The following is a 20,027-nucleotide window of genomic DNA, read 5'->3' on the forward strand; positions in this document are numbered from 1 at the left end:
CCCGCCTTGGCCTCCCAAAGTGCTGGGATTACAGATGTGAGCCACCGCGCCCTGCCAAGATGAAAGATATTTAAGTCCTGCCACCGAATATTGACAGAACAGGAACTCCTAGGTGTGACTCTCTCTTTTGATCATACGCAGAGCACTTGCACACACACACACACACACACACACAGAGTTCATTTTTAAACATTATTTTACTTATGAATAGGATGGTTGAATGAAATAGGAAATGGTAATTCTAGGCCTCAATTAATTTCATTAGTGAATACTGAATAAAATTTTGAGTTCATTGTCTTAAAGTAAATAGGAATTAGACTATCAGAGGTTAATAAAGATTGGTTATAATAGCTAAAAAGGGCCTGTTTGCTTACATAGTAATGTCTTTCTTTTTGTTTTAGCATGAAGGAACTGGGGATGTAGGGAAAATATGAGCACAAATCCTAAACTGTCAATGAAATATTTATTAAATAAAATTACTTCTGGTTTATTTTAATATTTCAAATTATATAGTATGTTGGTAGAAAGATAACAAATGAAAATTATTTTTGTATTCCACAAGGAAAAAAAAAACCCACTATGGCCCAGAGCAGTAGTGAAAGTAAATGTAGAAATAAGAAAAACAATGATGCTAATTAGTAGATAGAATAGGAATATGATCACTTCCATACAGAGTAGATTCAGATGACAGGTATTCTAGGTTCAGGATGTATGTCCTTAGAATCAAAACCTGAAATCTAAGTGGACTCTGCCAAATGTTATGACATACTACTTAACTTCCAAATTCCTGGGGGAAAATTGAACCTAACAACCAAAATGGGAAAATAAACACTGCTGCTACTTTCTTTTCCATAAATTGGTGGTGGTGGTTTATTGTTGATGTTGTTGTTGATCTTTGTTTTTGCCTTGGCTGATGGGAGGCTGAGAGACAGATTCTATACTTTCTTCTAGCTTTCATCAAAATTGATTGAATATACTGTTTTCTCCCTTCTTTTACTTCTCAGTATTTATCTTATTGTACATGTCTTTGTTTTTATTGTATCGGTATTTTAGTTGCAAGATGCCTCAAGTGCTTTGTGGAAGTAGCAGTGTTATAAATCAATTAAAAAAAAGCGAAGTATCAAGTGCAGATATTGCATTTCTGAGACTATCTAGTCCATATGGAGCCACAGAATGCTAGAAGGAAGGGAGCCTTAGAATTCTTCTAATCCAACACCCTTGTTAATCAGGTAAGAAAGCAGATACAGAGAAGTTGACATACCTAGGAAATAAATAATCAGGGGCCATTTCTCTTGTACCCTCTCATCCTTCCAACTATGAGACATATCTCCGCTTCAAATACACTGTCCAAATTACCACATACTATACTGTCTTAATTTATTTATTTTATACAAGTTTCTGAAGCTTTCTACCTAAAGAGTAAGCATTAATTAATGTGCTGTAGAGACCCACCCTCATCCTGCCAACTGACAGCAGTCCTTTCCACAAACTGCTGTTCAGGCAGCTGCCAAGAGAAAGAGATTATTCCCATGGACTCTTGCCAAGATCCTGGCTGGGGACTGTGCTCAGGGCTAACTGTTGCTTCGAGTAGTTACATTAGTCAGGAACTGGAACTGTCAGGATCTCTACCAACTAAGATCTTCTTAAGCAGCAGCAAAACAGAAAAAAAAAAAAGTTAGATAAAGCTCAGTTGCCAATATTCTTGATATATAAATCAACCCGAATTTGAAGGAAGATTTTTTTTAACCTTATCCATGGCTATGATATATGGTAAATAATGGCATTGTTGAGTTATTCATTCTAAATCACTTCTCCACCAGTGAGTAATTACTAAGGATGATCTTGTCCACATAGGTCATGTTGTGGCTAATATATAGAACCTTCTTCATAGGGCTCTGCACTGATAAGATGTGGCAGGCAGGCATGATGGAATGCAGACAGAGGACCGACCTTGCTGTGTGGGCAGACAGAGATGGGCTCCAAAGAAACTCCATTACTTGAAAATCAATATATTTGCAATATCCTTCTCTATAGCAAGAAAGTGCAACAATTATTTGCTAAAGTATGTACTGCGATTATTGTCTCTAATTTGTAGTTCTAAATATCCATTTTTAAAATAGTGAGAGAGTTTAGTATTTGACATAGAAGTCATCATTGGAAGATTGAAGTTGAATAGTGTCATCATAAGGTTCTTTTCAAGCTAGAGATTTGGAATGAAGGAGTGTGTGACATCAGAGAGCTGGGAACCCATAGGCCACTGGCCAGCCTTGAGCACAATGGAACACTAAAAGCGGGAGAATAAAACAATAAGTTAATAACGCATACTAAGTCACATGCTTTAGGAGAAATCTAATGCAAGAGGATGTGTTCTACCCCCAGTACTTCCTATGTTTTCTCATGCAGGTGGCATATCAGATTCTAATTCTCTATAATCCTTTCCCTTCGCTAGGACCTCTGTCCCTTCTGCAGTACTAGTGTGGTAGTCAGTGGACAAGGAGGTACGAGGCAGCAGTACTGTGCTATTAAGCCATTCTTTACTCAGGGGACAGAGTAACATTAATGGATTTCCAGATGTGGGAGGCTTCTAGCATTATTGCTTCTTGAAATCTCTTTGATGTCTTCAGAGTTCTCTACTCTGAATCCTGTCAAGAACAAAATCTATACACACAGGGTGTTATTTATGAGGCAACATGGCTGCCAGTCAGACATCAAGGAGGATTTTTACTTTGATAATTTCCTACTCTAAATAATTATTTTACATTTAGATCACCATAAATAAATGGAATTAACTCAAAAAAGGAAACTAACCTTAGTAAAAGACAAATTGACAGCCAGGCAGCATCATAAATCTCATGACCAATGAGATATTTGCAAGTAACTTCTCCTTGGTGTTGCCCATAAACACATCTGTTAGTAAAGTTGTGTATGAGTACAGTTACTTCCCCACATTAAGACCTGGGTAATTATGCTATTGTTAGTCAAAGTTCTAAGTTACTTAACATGGGTTGCAATTTCAAGTGTTTGAAAATGGTATAACCATTAAACGTACAGGGCAAAATAAGCAAACTATTTACTTCTAAATCGTTAAATGATTTTTGTTGTCATCTATGAAGCATACCTAGGTGAAGTCAGCATCAGTATTTGTTTCCAGGCTCACTTCCAAGCCAATGGCAACAATAGAACCAGTGTCTCACTGAACGTGGAGAGCCAACACAGTTCAGAGACAATAGTTTCTTAGCTTTCTCCCATTGTTTCACTCACATAAAGCAATCTGTACTTCTTGTCCCATATTACATTTGGTCTTTAATACTGGCAATTTGAGGACATACTATTAAAGGAAAAACTTCTGTCAAATATTATTATGCTTCCAAATCCTAAAGTAATTACTTAATATGAAGTATAAGGGCACAGAGACAAGAAGTTGCCTATTCAATATCAATTCCTTTTCTTTTTTTTTAAACCTTACTAATAGATCCAATTTTATTCAGGTCATTATAGGGAAAGAGAGAGAGAGAAGGAAAAAAGGAAGGAAGGAAAGAAAAAAAGAGGGAAGAGAAAGAAAGAATGGACTACATTTCCCAGATTGCCTTGCAACTAGGTTCAGTTAAGAATGAGTAGTTATCATTGGGTGGAGACTTCCAGAAAAGCCCCTCAAAGGGGACTGACTTATGGACATGCACTATTTTCATTGTTCTTTAGCTTTCTCTTGCTTAGAACATGCACAGCATGGCTGACGATTTGCAACCATGTTGAGAATGTGAGATTGAAGGTCACACCTTACGATACTACAGCAGGAAGTTAGAAGGATCCAGGGTTCCTGAGAACATCATGGGGCTGCCATACCAGCAGTTGCCTGCCAGTCTTCAGATTTCTTTTAAATTTTAAGCCACTGTTTTTGGGGTCTCTGTTACTCACACAGACATAATAGAGAAGTTGAAAAAGTGTTGATTGAGACCCGGTGTCTAATTTTTGCCTTTCCATAGACCGTATGGCCTTTAAAACCTCTCTTTACATCTCATGGCCTCAGGTCTCTTCTCTATAAAATAAGTGAGTTGGGCTGGATGATCCTAAGGAAACAGGAATGAGACCACGATAGGTAAATGGAGGCAGGAAAGAGCTGCCCTTACTTGCTTCTAGCTTTATTTAAGAAAGGGACCTGTGGGGCTGAGGGGGTGGGCAGTAGGTAATAAAGTAACCTCACCCCTGGGATGGAACATTAGCCTATGTTTGACAGCCCTGGGCAAGAGTTGAGCTCAAGGTGATTGAAGTAATGCTACATTTGACTGGAAAAGGGCCTCCCTTCTGTGTTCTCCATACTCCCTAGTCCTTCCTGAATACTACTGGGATGTGATAGAAAAGACAAAAGGAGAACATATCTTTAGCATAGTCCATTTTTTTTTTCAGAGTCCAACAGTTGCTTTCCATTTACCAGGGGTTGGAGGAACTAGAGAAACACGAATAATCACAATCCTCATGATCCAGAGATGCAGGAAAAGGAAGAGAAGACTCCCATAATTTTGTCTTACTCACCCACTTAAAGAATTTACATTAAGACATATAAGCCATAAGTCACTTATTTCATTCTGGAAGATGTCCCCTGATGGCCAAGTATAGTGCACATTGCAAATAAGCACCACACAACCAATTAGTTATTACGTTATTCACAAGAAGCAAAAAATTGTATCTATGATAAACTCTATACAAATTTTCCAGGTTCCTGGAAACAATCCAAACAATCTTTCTCCATCTACAATGTCCTTTACCAAGTTGAAACTAAATCATCTGGGATGGAAAATCTTTGATAGCTTTTCATACCAACCTTGTGAAAAAAGATGTATGTCTAAGTTTATGGCGACAAACAGTGTTATTATCTCTCCTCCTCTAATATTTAACCAACCTAAACACTCAGGGGAAAAATGTTATCTGAAATCCAACCACTTTATATACATTCACTTGGTCTTCTTTGGACAAGTCAACCAGCTTTTTCTCACAAGTATCTCAAATACTTGTTTGGAAAGCTTTTCTCAAGTGGGTATGCAAACAGGAGGAGAACTGTTCTTTAGCAGTCCCTTCTTATAAGCCTCCAATGATGCTATCTTCTTGTACTTTAGTTAATGAAAAGATAAATATGATCTGTGCTGTGCCCAGCTGTGTTGTTCTTGTACTGAGGAATTCACAAAAGGAAAATTTTACATCATACTTTTATCAGTGAACAAGCTTGCTAAAGCAAATAGATTTCAGCCTCCTGAGTTTGCTTCAATAAAAGATTAAACGCTAATAGTGCAACTTACCGCACTCAACAGATTTATGAATAATCAAAGTCTGGAGAAAGGCCAGGCCATTTAAGAACATTACCTACCAAACAGATGCCAGTAGTATGTAGACGTCTTCCCTATAGCCAAGCAGCTGTATTTCCTATCGCACAACTCAATATTGACTGCATAATTGGCCTTTACAAAACATTTATTAAAATGCACCATTTGTCACAGACCCAGTGTTTGTTTAAGAGTTTCAGGTGGGGAGAGGGAATTGAGGGGTGGGCGGAAGACACACAGTTTCTAATTACTAAGCGGATTTAATTGGTAAACAGCAGCAAGTCCAGCCTATCCTGGTAAGATGAAAGGTCTGAATTTTCAAGGAGCAAGGAGTTCTTTAAGAAATAAAGAGAATAAGCACCTTATGAGAACTAGTTTTTGAATACCACTTTGCATCTGTGAATGGCATTCCTCTCGGTGAACACAAAGCCCATTTCCATGTGTTTACCTTCGTGTTCTCATGCTATTCCTAGGTGGTCAGCCTGCCATTATGTTGCTGCTCTCCTTTTCTAGATTAATACACTGAGGCATGGAGACTTTTTTGAATGCTCTATCTACCCAAAGGAGCATATTAAGTTAATGATTAAGTGAGGGCTGAAGTCAGCGTGCTAAGTTTCTAACTCTTTGAAAAGGATTGCTTATTTCTCCATCCTGTATCTGTATACAGCTTTAAAAAGAAAAAAAAAAAATCAGTTGACTGATTCCTTGTAATAGAAACCACCTATTTAAAAAAATCTCCCTGCTAACAAATTCCAAATACATGTGGACAAAACGCTTTAATTAGAAGGCACTGAGTTTAGTTGCAATGAACTCAAAACGCACTCAGGGTATGACTCAAGAATGAAAAGTATCACTTTATTTTGTAGGTTTGCCATGGCAGAAAATGCAACTGGATTCCAGTTAATATCTTGCCAAATTAAAACATGCTTCTTAATTTGTTGGCCTCCTGCTCAATAAAAATCCTAGTCATGCTCTCTGTAATAGGAATTCCTCACTAAACCTCACTTAATGCTAGAAAAATGAGAGTATCATTTATCTCTGGCACCCAAGTATGTCTTCAGCAGGTGCTTGAATCATTTAAGATTTCTCTAACACCAAAAGCTAATTATTTTAGTTCTTTGGTGCTATTTTTAATTACATAAACACCTTTGGTTTCTTCAATTTTATTCAAACTTTAAAAGAGAGTAGGTTTGTGTTATGGCAATAATTATTCATTAAGTGGAAAATAGAAATATTTTTGTTCAAATTTTAGCTTTCTAACAGCTGCATACGTATATAAAGGTGTGTGTGTGTGTGTGTGTGTGTAGGTATTTCATACTCACTTGGCCCAAAGTGTAGGTGTTTTGTGCATTTACCTTACAGAGTCATTAAAAAATAATCATTTCATTGTGCATATTCAAACGCACTCAACAAAAAAGGACAATGTATAGTAGTTATAAACTCACTGATCCCGGTAAGAAAGGGACAGTGTTCTGGCCTATATGTCTGGTATCAGAATCTGGATAATAAGTGATACATTTTTAAATGATGGGTTGGTATCTAGCCAAGTGGCTAGGTTAAATTTATGAAAACTACAATAGAGGACAGGAATGCACATTCAAATAAGTGAAAAATAAATCCTAAATACGTGAAAAAATTGCTCACTTTCATGGATTATTGAAGTAGGAATTTAAGGTTCCAGATTATATCTATATCTGTATCTATCTATCTATCTATATATACTTATATGCAATTTATAATATTTATGTATTTAATTATAATTCCACAACTTATATATTAAACATATTTATGTTAAATATTAAACTCAGTGCAGGTAAAATACACTTATATCCTAAAGCTTTGAAAACTGTTATAACCCTTTCAGAAAGCAAGAACAGAAATTTTATAATATGTATACAAATATTAAAGTGTTTACAATCTTGATAATTCTACTGCTGGAAATTTACTTTAAATACATATCAACAATAGGTAAAGCTACATTCAGTAGGGTTTTTGTTGTTGTCATGGTGGTGTTAAATTTAATCGTATAAATTTAAACCATGCAAGTAACTAACACTAGAGGGAAAAATAAGTAAATTATTGCCCCTGGATGGACTAATACTTAAGTACAATAATAATCATACAGACTATGCAATAACTGGCCCAAATTCATGGTAAAATATTAATCAAGAAAAAGTTGAAGCTATAAGAAAAGTGATTAGCAGAGCCAAACAAAACTTTAGTAAAAATTATTGCTGGTTTTTAAATTTTTTGTAATACTGCTTTTATGTTTTGAAGATGTTGACAAGAGTTTGAGTCCTTCTTGTCCATATTTAAGTGTGAGATACAATTTTCCCTGGCCTGAGCACTTCACTCCACGTAGACAGTAACAAAGACAAGTCCGATTTCTCCGAAGGGAGTCAATTCCCATGGTATAACTATCTCCCAAAGCACCACTAAGGTTGCAGTTAGTTTCCTGAGTATGCATCAAACTCATGCAATCCAGGTCTGGAAATTACACCTGCCCTTCTTGGGAACCACTCCCTCTACATCAAAGGACTATCCTTGGCACAGTACAGCAGGGGTTGCAGCCCCCAGCCCTGAGCACAGCCACGTCTTCACATCATGAAGCCAGATTATCCTGATAAAAGGACACAGTCTCATCACCAGGCATATTTTTGTTAAAGCACAAATACCCAATGTTTCAACAATCAAATAATCGCTAAATTACCAAGCCAAGCAATTGCTTATGGAGAAAGCCACAAAAGGAAAAGGCATCCTTAACACTCTGATATTAAAACAACAACAATAACCAAAAAAGACTTTCCAAGTTTATAATTTTTTAAAGTCTGTGTTTTCCTCATGTTCTCACTCATAGGTGGGAGCTGAACTCGAGAACACATGGACACAGGGCAGGGAACATCACACACCGGGGCCTGTGGTGCAGTTGGGGGCTGGGGGATGGATAGCATTAGGAGAAATACCTAATGTAAATGACGAGTTGATGGGTGCAGGAAACCAACATGGCACATGTATACCTATGTAACAAACCTGCACATTGTGCACATGTACCCTAGAACTTAAAATTTTAAAAAAAGAATTTTCCAGAAAAAAATAAAGTCTGTGTTTTAAAACCAGATATTTATTACTCTCTTAAAATGTCTCAGGGTAACATTTTTAGTTCTGCAACAGTGCAGCTAACATTCCGAGACCAGCCATCGTGCAACTGCCCATAAAAAAATTAACACCATCAAGGCCATTTTTCTGTGCTTAAGCTCATACCAATGAAAACTACCCTATAGGCATAAACTTGATATTTCTGTTCACCACACATTAACCCAGCGTTCCTCAGAGTGTGACACCCAGGTGACTTCTGTGATGCAAATTTCTAAAAATCTGGCTGGAAACCTGCATGATCGAATACCCCACTCATGACAGGGTTCAACCATTGATCTTCGCTTATTTTACCCAGCTTGCACTTAGTCTTGGAAGATTAACCCTTTGGCAGGGTGAATTCACACTGTTAAACGCAAAGGAGTCTCTCCTGAGACTCATGAAAGTGCCTTAGTTCCCAGAGTAGGACCCAGAGACTACTGGAGATCTAACATGATTCATGGGAGTCAAAGAGAAGTGGCTAACATGGGAGTTGGGGAGAGACATAGGCTCTGGAAGGAATTGAATCACAGATTCCTGGAGCTACAGAAAACCTTAGCAGTCACCTTAGCCCTCTCAGTGCACCACACAACTGGTTAGTGAGACAAACTCAATGTAGCTTTCTTTACATTGTCCCCAGAATGTTTTGAGGTAAAAGAAATAGGGGCAGAAGGAACCTGGTCATAGAAAAAAAATTATATATTATTAAAGAAACATAATAGCAAATGAGGACAATATATGTAAAGATAATCTTTAAAACGTTTTCTGACATGGTCCTGGTATACATTTTAAATTACATCTGAATGCTGAGGAGACCATCTTAGAAGCTGGTGTGGATGACGACTTCCCAATAAGAATGTTAAGAAAGGGAGAAAGCAAATCATTTACACACCTGGCCGGCCCCTGTGACCTTCAAAAGTCACTGGCTGCACATTCAGTTGCACATACACTTTTGAAAAACTTCTCTTTGTCTGGCAATGTCATTCCCCTTACCCCATCCCTCACACTTTTCAAATAGAAAGAAAAGGGTCATAGGGTGGGCACTGGCTGGGTGCAGGAGGTCTCGACCTCACCACATCTGGTGAGGGCAGAGGAGGGGAGGCAGGGAGGACTGCGGGAAAGAGCTGGAGCAAGGGTGAGAGGACAGCAAGCTGGCCAAGGAGAAACACCTCATCCCCTTAACTCCTGCTTGAAGCATCTACCTCCTCCAAACACAGAAATATGAAAAACAGGTAGTCAGCTACAGAATAGGAAATTGAGATACTTTCCAAGGATTCAAGAGGAAGAGGAATGCATGCATGAGTTGGTCGTATTTCAGCTGCCCACATGCCGTTTTATGTGGGCACTTAGAACACATTTTCTATAACATCCCTTTGCCACAAATAAGGCATCAGAACATTTGTTACAAAGCAAGGGTATACAAAATACACTATATGATTTTGTATATCCACCACCACCTGCATACTCAAAATCACAGAGATAGATTAAAAAGGATATAGTTCAAAATGTTAAAGCCATATATGCTGTGTAGGAGCACTTTACCAAATTACCTTTGTTGCAGTCGCTGAAGTTCTCATCACAAAGAGTAAAAACCATCATGCTTCCACATAGAAATAAGCAAATTGCATCAGTGAAATATAACCAGGAAGAGAAAAGGAATTCAACCTCCCCCATCAACACTAAAACTAGTCAATAATTATCTAAGTGGTATCAGTTATGTTTTCTGCGCATCCTGGTTGGCCTCTAAGTAAAGAGAAGGAGCCGGAGAGAAGGGCTTGGGAATGCTACGGTTTCTCTATAGCAGTTTTATCTTAGGCGGTGTGTGTGAAGACTAGGGTGTATGCAGCGAGTAATCTGCATGTTTACTGCGTCAACATTCTACCCACTTCTGGGTAGAATCGTTGCTCATCCTAATCACATTCAAAGGCCCCATAGGGCAGCAAGAAGTTCCTACTTACTGGCAATTTAGCTCTTGGAAACCCTTGAAGAGGATGGTTTTGTCCCTGTGTGCTATCATGGCTGTGTGGAGGCCACTAAGCCAGCTCACAGCTAAAATTCAACAGGCAGGAATGACTCACACCTCTCCAAAGCTTTTTTTTTTTTTTTTTTTTGAGATGGAGTATCATTCTGTTGCCCAGGCTGGAGTGCAGTGGTATGATCTCAGCTCACTGCAACCTCTGCCTCCCGGGTTCAAGTGAGTCTCCTGCCTCAGCCTCCCAAGTAGCTGGGATTACAGGCACATGCCACCACGCCCAGCTAATTTTTGCATTTTTAGTAGAGACAGGGTTTCACCATGTTGGCCAGGCTGGTCTCAAACTCCTGACCTCAGGTGATCTGCCCTCCTCGACCTCACAAAGTGCTGGGATTACAGGCATGAGGCACTGTGCCTGGCCTCCAAAGCTTCCTAAAAATGAGTGAGGAGTACTGCCAATTTAAAAGTCTGCCTGATATTCAATAGAGGAAAGATACACTTTCAATAAACATTCACTTGTTTTACGTGATAATGTAAACTTGATAATGAGAATAAGAAATCTAATAAGGCCATTCTGTAATGTATATCATGAACTAAGTATATTTTCCTATTTCTTAGCACTACACTGTTTTCTGGATCTAAGTTGCCAAAAATACCTACTAGCTGAATGTAGCACAGGGGTTGAGCAGGAAGAAATCAAAAGGTTGAAGCAAAACAAACCCTGGAGAATAGGGTTTGAATTCAAATTCTGGAGGCACATTAAATAATGCTAAATAGAACTAAAGGGGGTAGTTTTCCTTATGAAAAGTCTACAATATAAATGTTGAAGTTTCTCTAGTCCTATATGAATGTGATAAAATGATCTATAAATGCACTGTCAAATACGGTAGCAACTAGCCACATATGACAATTTAAAGTGAAATAATTTTTTAAAATACAGTTAAAAATTAAGTTCCTCACTCACGCTAGTGCTCAATAGCTACATAGGACTAGCAACTACCACATTGAACAGTGCAGATTACAGAACATTTTCAGCACTGCTGAAAGTTCTATTGGGCATCTCTTATTCCAGAGCTTAATAGACTTTGAAGTAATCATAGATATAAAATATAAACTAAAATAAAAGGCATCACTCCATAAAAGTGCACAAGAGGGAGTGGCATATTTAAACCATAAAGAACCTTTATTCTTTCTTTGGCTCAATCCTTATTTAGAAGGGAAAAAATCTCTTCCAGAAAACAGGTAGGGCAATAACTAGGCTAGGTAGCAAAGTTTCTAGCAGAGTTCTCATTGAAGTCCTTTTACCTGAAAAGGCACAAATGTGTGTGTGTGTGTTTCCCCTCTGAGTTATTCAAAGCATGTACTTATATGGAGAAATGCTTACCATAGGACCTGCTAAAATAGTATGAATGGCCCAGAGTAGTGACATTAAGACAAGGACTTTTAAAAAGCCAGGAAATCAAAACTAACTGGCAACATTTGACCTGATCTCAAAACAGATTGCTGCAGAAGGGAACATTCTTACACAGAAAGGAGCCAACTATACATTTTCTATCCTCATAGGGTTAGATATTTATACACATTTTTATCACTGAAATTTATTTAGGATTGAAATGGTTATCTAGGTGTTGTCATTGGGTCTGTTTTTGGAAGGTCTCCTGCCTAGGGCGTTTAAAGTATGCTATATCTTGTGAGCAGGAAGATTTGATAATGTTCCAAGGTCACCTGTGCTGGAACATTGTTACCCTGCTAAATATCTTAGTTTTCTAATGATACGCAAATGGCAATTTAAAATACACTATTTAATTTCACTCTCTTCTTTTTTCTTTTTTACTGCTACAATTTGATCATGTGTGTGCCTCCATGCTCACAGGTTCAGGGTGTTCACATGATATAATTATAACAGCTATATGAAACAAAGCTCCAGAAACTATACCATGTGAGTTACAGATTAAATGGGTTGGCAATGCTGGACACAATACCAGTTCTCAAAAGTACTCCTGATTCTAACAAGTAAAGTTGTAATAAATTAAGAGGGCTGGTATTTACATAAGTAAATATGAAATTTCAAAGCTATATGTGAATTCCCATGCTGAATTGAATTCTTACTAACACAACATGTATTCTTTTTTTTAACGCAGATGATAGCCTTGTTAAAACTAGGGAATGCTCACTGGCATATTTACTTCTTGTGGATTCTAAGGTGCCTTTACTGATGACTGAAATCTAGCTATGTTAGAATAAGAGTCACTTGAATATATTTAGCACTTTATAAAGCAATGGTAACATATAACACTGCATTTGTCTGCCATAGCCACACATCAAGTATTTATGGTAGGTGGTATTTTGAAAGTGGGGGGTAAAAAGATCAGGTTGGTTAAGTTATGTGCCTAAGGACTTCAAGCCTTACATTTATTTTTAAAAATAATCTTAACACACAAGTAATACGAGACTATGTTTTTGTTTAAAAATGTCCTATGGCCGGGCGCAGTGGCTCACGCCTGTAATCCCAGCACTTTGGGAGGCCAAGGCAGGAGGATCACCTGAGATCAGGAATTTGAGATCAGCCTGGCCAGAATGGTGAAACCCCGTCTCTATTAAAAATAGAAAAAATTAGCCAGGCACGGTGGCGCGTGCCTGTTTTCCCACCTACTCGGGAGGCTGAGGCAGGATAATTGCTTGAAACCGGGAGGCAGAGGTTGCAGTGAGCTGAGATCATGCCACTGCACTCCAGCCTGGGCAACAGACCCAGACTCTGCCTCAAAAAAAAAAAAAAAAAAAAAAAGTCTACAACATGACATATGAAGCTAAAGCCCCTAGAACCACAACTCAATCTATGTCTGCTCCCTCTCCTCAAAGGCAACCACTGTTATCAGGTGATGTGTACTAGATCTTCTTTATGCCTTTGCAACCATTCACCCTTATCCAAGAAGGTACGCATAAGAAGATCTGGTGCAGCATTGTTTATAGAAACAAAAAACAATGTAATCACCTTAAATATCCAAAAACTAGAGATTAACCAAACTAAATGTAATTTAAAACAATGTAGCAAGCCTATATTAAATAATTTGAAGTTTCTAAAGTGCATAGCAAGTGCGTAGCACAGAGTGAGCATTATATAAAGTATCTACTATTATTATAAGGCACAACATATTTAATGAAAAACACAAACTGCAAAAAGACATACAACATGAGCTAATTTATGTTACACACACACACACACACACACACACACACACACACAAGTGCTGTCATAATTTTCTAGGAGTACCAGGATTTCACTCCATGAGGCTACTTCCCCTCTTTTAGATTATGAGGATACTTTCAAACTACATCAGGCAGCATTATAGAGTAAGAGAGAAAATGGGTATGTATATTATATCTGCCTCAATGTGTTTCTCTGGTCTTCATCCTTAGTATTACAGGTGAAGGGTATTCAAGGGTATTCAAGAATAGTTCATTTTCTTCTTGACTCCGTAAGCACAGGAGGAGCTCAAACATACTACCTCCCTGAAAACAAAAAAGGGATAAGAAACACTTTCTTACTTAAGAAAGAAAAACTTAAGAGAGAAAAAACAAAGTCGAATGAGCATAAACTGTCTCATCAGGTTCTAATTCTTCTGTTTCTATGCAGAAGTTTTTTTCAGATAAATCTTAATGTAGCCTAAAACGAAAGAATTGTGCTCTATGAAGCAGAGGACTCTGAAAAGGGAACCAAAGATGAATTTTAGTCCAGCTCCATCACTCTCCCAGTTGAGCACAGAGCCAGTCCCCTAACCTCCCTATACCAGGGACTTTGGACATAGTCTTTTATTATTTCCACATTGCCTAATGGGGGTCCTTTCTTCATGATCATGCATGTCCTTTACAAATGAAGCTTCCTTTGAAGACAGGCAAGAGATCAGATCAAGCCTTCCAATATTTATTACTTTGGTTTCCTCTTGGTTCACTGTTCTCACAATGGCTAATTCTCCAAGGGGTCCCAGATGTGAACTCTGCTCTAACTATTAAATATGACTGTAACAAGGGAACTCACACCGCAAAACATTCTTCTTGACTTCCAACCAGGGTTTCTCCCAAAGAGATGCCCCTGTACCATCTGCTCCAGAAAAGCGCAAATCCATTCCATTAATCATGGACGTCTCAGAGTTTTCTTTCCTAACCCTGAAGTTCCTGGTTCAAAGTTTCTAAAGTGGACCAACTTAGTAGAGAAATAAAACAGTTGCTATATTTACAAACACAGTATCAAGCACAATTCCTGAAACAAAGTGAACTCTCCAGAAACATTCACTGAATGAATGATGGCACGCCTTAACTAATAACAATGTATAGGGATCTTATTTGTTCATTTTCTTCATGTTTTTCATCAGGCTCTGTACCAACATATACAGAAATTCTCTCTTATTTCTCACTCTCTCTTAAAAGGACCACATTAGCCTTAAGCCTCCTGACATTCCTGGGCTATCATCGGAATTTCATGCACAACCCAAGCCAGGCCTTGATCTTGCCAAAAATCTCTGGTGATTTATTCAGTCTGCATATTGGACAAGTCCAGTTCTACAAGTCATTTAGATCCAGTCCTAAATGCCTTTAACTGGGATCAATTTTATTTTTAGTAGTTGAATATAAACTTTAAACCACAGTGAATGCAGTAAACCAAATGAATGCAGTAAAAACTTGGTGGCTTCCAAATTTATTTTGAGAATTGTAACATAAAAGCCAACATAGAAAATTAAAGCTTTCAAATAATCTCAGAAACAGTACCTGCTAAGGATGGTTTCCAAAGGTTAGCTGGAAAGTTTTATCAGGTTCATCTATATAACTACAAGATTCTTCATCTTAATTCTCTCATAATCTGTCTGATAACCAATGTACTAGAATGACAGACAACAACATAAGGAAAAGGTAGAGCTGAATAGTCAATGGAAATGCTTTAGCAGTCTTGGCCAGCACAGTCCAAAGGGAGCAATGAAGGTTCCTGATGCATGACGAACTCAAGCTCCTTCTGGTCGGTCCCTTGCCTTATTCACTGTTTGAGCATTTATTTAACCTTGAAGAGACAAGTCATATATTGGGAACTGTCCAGTTTTTTCCAGAGGTGTGGAGACACTAAAAACATTCAGTACTTTGAAAGCACCAACATTCCAAATATGAACTATGTTGCACTGTGCTCTGGCCTAGGCAGGCTCAGGAGTGCTTGCTGAGTCACTTCTGAATGAAAGGGATAAAAACTATGCCCCCATCATTTGATACAATTTTAGGTTAGATTAAGAAGTCATTCATTCAGATTTGGCTTAGTTCACTCAAATGTGTTTCTACCTTGGTCTCTACTTTCAATTTCTAAGCATTCTCTCCAAATTAGGCAGGAGCTTTGCTCCTCCTCACATCAACCACCACCATAATAAACCAGGATCTTCACAACTTAGAATTGGTTTAGGGCTCCTGACCCCAAATCTCAATCTTTCTTGAGGTTTGAATCATGCCTTTGTCTTATATTTAGAATCCAATGTCTTGTTCACTGTCTGGAACATTGGAATTAGCTGGGTCAGTTTCTTCCTCACCACATTCCCCTCCTTCCCCCCACTACACAAAAAAGACCAGAGTAAGTTGCTTGTTACGTAGTTGTTCAGTGGGAAATATGTTTTACAAATGAGGGGAGGAAAAGAGGAGGGAAAGCGGGTAAGTAGGTAGTAGTAGAACAGAAAGGGAAATTTGGGGAGCAGAAGAGAGCAAAAGAAGAAAAGGGAAACTTCTAGATTCCTGATAATAGAAAAGCTAGAGAATTTCATTCCTGAAAATTAAAGATATTTTACACGTTTGTGCATGTATGTGGCTTTGTGTTTATACACATACCGTTTTGTTTCATGTAGCATAATCAAATCTATTGCTAATTGTTTAGTTAATATTTACTTATTCAAACATGTTTTTAACATCTTGCCCAATATTCAATCTACATTTTACTTAGCAATTAGCTTCTCTGGCAACTTGCTGTTTTGTTTTCTTTTTTTAACAAAAACGAATACTGATGTTCTAACAGAACAGTCTTACTGCCCCCTTTGGCTATTGTCGTTTCTCTTGCTTCCCCAAAGGCAAAAGCTCTGCTATTTTGCTTGCAAACACAAGACTGATATTTCATTGTTGTTACAAAAGGGTCAAGATTTTTAAAAGCACCACCCTTTAAAGTTCTTTCATGGAGATCTCAGAAATGAACAGCAGTCTCACAGAAATTGCAGAACAGAAGCAGAGGAGAGAAATACAAATGGGCCAGCTAACATTATCAGTCATGTCACCCAGACTGTTACTCTTCTGAATGAAATAAATTGGCAAGAAGGGAAAGAAATGTCTGTGGAACATGCCACGGGATGAGGCACAATCTAGAGTTAGGACCTCCCTTTGCTTTTACTGTAAGCATGCCATTGGTCAAGATCAGCTAAATAAACTGCTCTGCAATTTCCATGCATTCTTTAACCATAATATGATTACCTTTAACAATCTTTTTGTGAAATCCAGGCAAATATCCAAGCCTACTTATTTTATTTTCCAGTTTTGTAACTATTTACCAACCTCACATACTAATCCAACAATGATTGTAGTTATATCAGGCATCTAGTGTATTCATTCAACAAATATTTATGTAAGGAACATTTCCTGCTATCTCACTAGATTGTAAAAACTTTTGTCACTAGATCTAGTAAAGAAATAGAACAGATTTAGAAATGAAATTCCATGGAAGCAAAAGAGCAAGCACACTATATTGGAAAATGTGAGATGTTTGGGGTAGATGAAATACAGTGTCTAAAGCTAAATAGGGAGGGGTTGTGGCCACAGTGTAGGCTGTAGCTGGAGGTATGGATGAAGGGGACAGGTCAAACTGTGAAGTCCCTAATATGCTGTGCTCAAAAACTGCATTTGATCATATTGGAAATTGAACACCATTGTGGGCCTTTAAAGGTGGGAACAGCATAATGACATTGTATTTTAGACAGAAAGAACTGATGCCAGTGGGAGAGGCTGATGGCAAATAAGAGATGCCAACAATCTGGGGCTGTTGTGATGGCCCAGCAGAGAGACACAGATGGCTCGAATGGAAGCAGCAGAAGTGAAATCGAGAAGAGAACATATTTGAGAGAAGTTTAGAAAGGAGAATGACTGATTAACTCTTCGTGGTATTATGATTGCTCTCCTCCCGCAGGAACCAGTCATAACCAATTTCAAAGCCTTTGGCTTGGAATGTCCTAAACACATTGCACAAAGCTACTCTGCATGGTTATCTTTAATCACGTCACATAGGAACCAATTATGATGTAGAATGTTGCCACTCAAAGTGTGATCTTTGGAGAAAAGCATTATCACCTACTGGAAACCTGTGAGAAATGCAGAATCTCCATCCCCACCCCAGAAATGCTGAATCGGATTCTGCGTTTAATCAAGGACCTCAGGTAAATCACATTCACATTGCCATCTGAGGAGTACTAACGTAGAGGAAGTATCTCTGGGTGTAGAAATAGCGGGACCCTGGTTAAGTCACTTACTTATTGAAATTTTCATTTCTTCTCCACAAAATTGGGAAACATATACTGATTGGCTGTAAGAGTGAGACTGTGATAAATTGTGTGAAAATGCTTTGTGAACTCTAAAGCATGATCCCAGATAGATTTAAATTCATTTTTATCATTGTGCTTGTCTTGTCATGCATCAAAATCATATGTTTGATTTATTTGCAAAAGACTTCATTGAGGGCTGGGCATTGTGGCTCATGCCTGTAATCCCAGCACTTTGGGAGGCTGAGGCAGGTGGATAGCTTGAGCTCAAGAGTTCAAAGCCAACCTGGGCAACATGGCAAAACCCCATCTCTATAAAAAATTACAAAAATTAGCTGGGTGTGGTGGCATGTACCTGCAGTCCCAACTACTTGGGAGGCTGAGATTAGAATATCACCTGAGCCCAGGAGGTTGATGCTACAGTGAGCTGAGATTGTAACACTGCATTTCAGCCTGGGTGACAATGAGATCCTGTCTCAAAAAAAAATTTTTTTTAAAAAAAGACTTAATTGAACCGTAAATATGGAAGTGGTAAAAGGAATGCATTTGCAGAGAAAATATCAAAACTTTAGTCACCTGGGTTTTTGTTGTTGTTTTGCACATTATTTCCTTGGGACTATATTGCCAACCTCCAAGCTTTCTATGAATTCACAAAACCTACATCCTCCTCTCTACTGAAACAAAGAAGAGGAGAAAGAATAACAATGTTAAGCACTGAATATTCGATAAACCTAAGGAACTTACCATTACCATATTTTTTTCTTGGTCAAATATCTATTATCTCTAAAAGTAAACCCAAATTCCAGCACTTAATTAGGTTCCTGGGGGAGGATATAGAATTGTTTAAAATAGAGTATAAGCCTATTTGTCTGTATTGTCTCATCCAGAAAGGAAATGAGATCAACCAGATAACCTTCTTGGATTCCTTCAAGTGTTGACTCCACAGTACCTTATTTTCAAGGTCAAGCAAGTAAGCAATATGCACAGGAGTAGCCCATGAAGTGCGATTTGAGGGATATCGAGTTGCTAAACCCTGAAGAAGGTATCCCCCCAGATATGCTGCATAGACCTACAATTAGACCCCAAATCTAGGGAGAAGATAACATGTCTGTGTCAGGGTCTTTTATAAAATATATTCTGTCTAGCACATTGCCACATGCTATGAATAATGAATTTATTAAATAGACCACTTTTATTTAGCAGCTGTAAAGGAAAGAGAAAGTATTTGTTTATTTATTTACTCATTTATTCATTCTTTGCTGTATATTTATTAGGTGCCCAAATGTGACCGACGCTGCCATTCACAGTAAAAGGCCAAACAAGATGGCCAGGCCCTTTGCCCTCATTAAGAATGTAATCTAGAGCTGTAGTCCTCAAGCATTTATCATCACATACCCATCAATAAAATTTGTTGAGTGTGCACCTCCAATATGTTAATATATTTATTTATAAATTAATCAATTATGCTACTGTACTAATATATAATATGATATAATAATATGTATATTGATAAATCCAAATAAAAATATGAGTGTATAACAGTAGAAACAGTTCTTAATTTTTTTTTTTCTGTGCCCCAATGCAACCACTGGCATATGGCCACCCACTTGAGAGATCCCTTTTTTACGGTAATTTCTATGAGAAACTTTTTTTTCCATGGGGACAATGTTATTCAAAGTATATGCTGACTTCAATCACATCTAGAATTCGAACAAAAGAAGTTATATGAGTTGCTCAGGATCAGAGATTCAACCTATTTTCTCTATCTCTCTCTAGTAACTTAAACTGCACTTAGAATATAATAGATGTTCAGTAAATGATTACAGAATTTAGGGAGAAAGGGATGAGGGTTTATGGAAGAAAATGAATACACTTATTACAAAAAAAGAGGTCAGGCATGGTGGCTCATGCCTGTAATCCCAGCATTTTGGGAGGCCAAGGCAGAATGATCACTTGAGCCCAGGGCTTCAAGACCAGCCTGGGCAATATAGTGAGACCTCATCTCTGCAAAAAATTTAAAAATTAACTGGATGTGGCAGCATCACTACACTCCAGCCCTGGTGACAG

General features: G+C 38.0%; 1 protein-coding gene and 1 long non-coding RNA gene across 16 annotated transcripts in view; one reads left to right on the plus strand and one right to left on the minus strand.

The window, feature by feature from the left end:
• Nucleotides 1-20,027, minus strand: part of MECOM (MDS1 and EVI1 complex locus) — a 580,206-nt gene that overhangs the window by 179,865 nt on the left and 380,314 nt on the right. For 9 of the 15 annotated variants that reach the window (XM_047447690.1, XM_047447688.1, XM_047447682.1 and 6 more), the window contains exon 1: nucleotides 9,998-10,079. The exons of the other annotated variants lie outside the window; for them this stretch is intronic. In XM_047447690.1, coding sequence (XP_047303646.1) covers nucleotides 9,998-10,024 — 27 coding nt within the window. In that variant the 5' untranslated portion in view covers nucleotides 10,025-10,079. Of the gene's footprint in view, nucleotides 1-9,997; nucleotides 10,080-20,027 lie in introns of those variants that run through there. 15 annotated transcript variants of the gene reach the window in all.
• On the plus strand, nucleotides 14,419-19,389 carry LOC105374206 (uncharacterized). The gene is made up of 3 exons (XR_001741018.2): nucleotides 14,419-17,858; nucleotides 18,848-18,930; nucleotides 19,235-19,389. It is a non-coding gene; the product is annotated as an uncharacterized LOC105374206 (long non-coding RNA).

This window comes from Homo sapiens, chromosome 3, assembly GCF_000001405.40.
Source record: "Homo sapiens chromosome 3, GRCh38.p14 Primary Assembly".
Taxonomy (NCBI): Eukaryota; Metazoa; Chordata; class Mammalia; order Primates; family Hominidae; genus Homo; species Homo sapiens.